Source organism: Homo sapiens, chromosome 10 (genome assembly GCF_000001405.40).
Source record: "Homo sapiens chromosome 10, GRCh38.p14 Primary Assembly".
NCBI classification, from domain to species: Eukaryota; Metazoa; Chordata; class Mammalia; order Primates; family Hominidae; genus Homo; species Homo sapiens.
Window position 1 is genome coordinate 52,369,773 of NC_000010.11, and position 1,942 is coordinate 52,371,714.

The window sequence follows — 1,942 nt, forward strand, 5'->3', positions numbered from 1 at the left end:
TTTGCCTTGGTTGATATCCTGAACAAAACACTTTTCAGAAGCACATCCCTCCTATCTTTTTGCTTCAATATCTTTTCAGTTTTACTATTGAACACTAGATCAGTGACACAGAGACTTCCTTGTATTAAATTCTCTAGCCACAAATACAAGGCCTGGAAATGTAAATTGAAATATATATATATTTTTTAAGACACAGTTTCACTTTGCCTCCTAGGCTGGAGTGCAGCGGTGTGATCTCCACTCACTGCAACATCCACCTCCCTGGTTAAAGTGATTCTCATGCCTCAACCTCCCGAGTAGCTAGGATTACAGGTGCATGCCACCATGCCCAGCTAATTTTTCTATTTTTAGTAAACATGGGTTTCACCATGTTGGCCAGGCTGGTCTTGAACTCCTGAACTCAAGTGATCTGCCCACTCCTGTCTCCCAAGGTGCTGGGATTACAGGCATGAGCTGCTGTGCCTGGCTGCACTGAGTTATTATTAAGCCAGCAACTCTTTCATAGAGCAAAGGTGGTTATAAAGCACTAATAACATTGAGTACATATTTTTTTTTCTTCCTCCCTCCCCAAGGAATAGATTATTCCAAATTCTCTAGTTTTAAACTATAGATCTATCTTTGACCACTCTTATTCTCAGGTGTAAGGACAGGGTCCAGTTTCAGTTTTCTGCATACGGCTAGCCAGTTTTCCCAACACCATTTATTAAATAGGGAATCCTTTCCCCATTGCTTGTTTATGTTAGGTTTCTCAAAGATCAGATGGTTGTAGGTGTGTGGTGTTATTTCTGAGGCTTCTGTTCTGTTCCATTGGTCTATATATCTGTTTTGGTACCAGTACCATGCTGTTTTGGTTACTGCGGCCTTGTAGTATAGTTTGAAGTCAGGTAGCATGTTGCCTCCAGCTTTGTTCTTTTTTCTTAGGATTGTCTTGCTATACAGGCTCTTTTTTTGGTTCCATATGAAATTTAAAGTAGTTTTTTTCTAATTCTTTGAAGAAAGTCAATGATAACTTGATGGGAGTAGCATTGAATCTATAAATTACTTTGAGGAATATGGCCATTTTCACAATATTGATTCTTCCTATCCATGAGCATGGAATGTTTTTCCATTTGTTTGTGTCATCTCTTATTTCCTTGAGCAGTGGTTTGTAGTTCTCCTTGAAGAGGTCCTTCACATCCCTTGTAAGTTGGATTCCTAAGTATTTTATTCTTTTTGTAGCAATTGTGAATGGGAGTTTGCTAATGATTTGGCTCTCTGTTTGTCTATTATTGGTGTATAGAAATGCTTGTGATTTTTGCACATTGATTTTGTATCCTGAGACTTTGCTGAAGTTGCTTATCAGTTTAAGGAGATTTTGGGCTGAGACAATAGGGTTTTCTAAATATACAATCATGTCTTCTGCAAACAGAGACAATTTGACTTCCTCTCTTCCTATCTGAATACCCTTTATTTCTTTCTCTAGCCTGATTGTCCTGGCCAGAACTTCCAATACTATGTTGAACAGGCATGGTGAGAGAGGGCATCCTTGTCTTGTGCCAGTTTTCAAAGTGAATGCTTCCAATTTTTGCCCATTCAGTATGATATTGGCTGTGGGTTTGTCATAAATAGCTCTTATTATTTAGAGACATGATCTGTCAATACTTAGTTTATAGAGTTTTTAGCATGAAAGGGTGTTGAATTTTATTGAAAGCCTTTTCTGCATCTATTGAGATAATCATGTGGTTTTTGTCATTGGTTCTATTTATGTGATGGATTATGTTTATTGATTTGCATATGTTGAACCAGACTTGCATCCCAGGGATGAAGCCGACTTGATCGTGGTGGATAAGCTTTTTGATGTGCTGCTGAATTCAGTTTTCCAGTATTGTATTGAGGATTTTGCATTGATGTTCATCAGGGATGTTGGCCTGAAATTTTCCTTTTTTGTTGTGTCTCTGCCAGG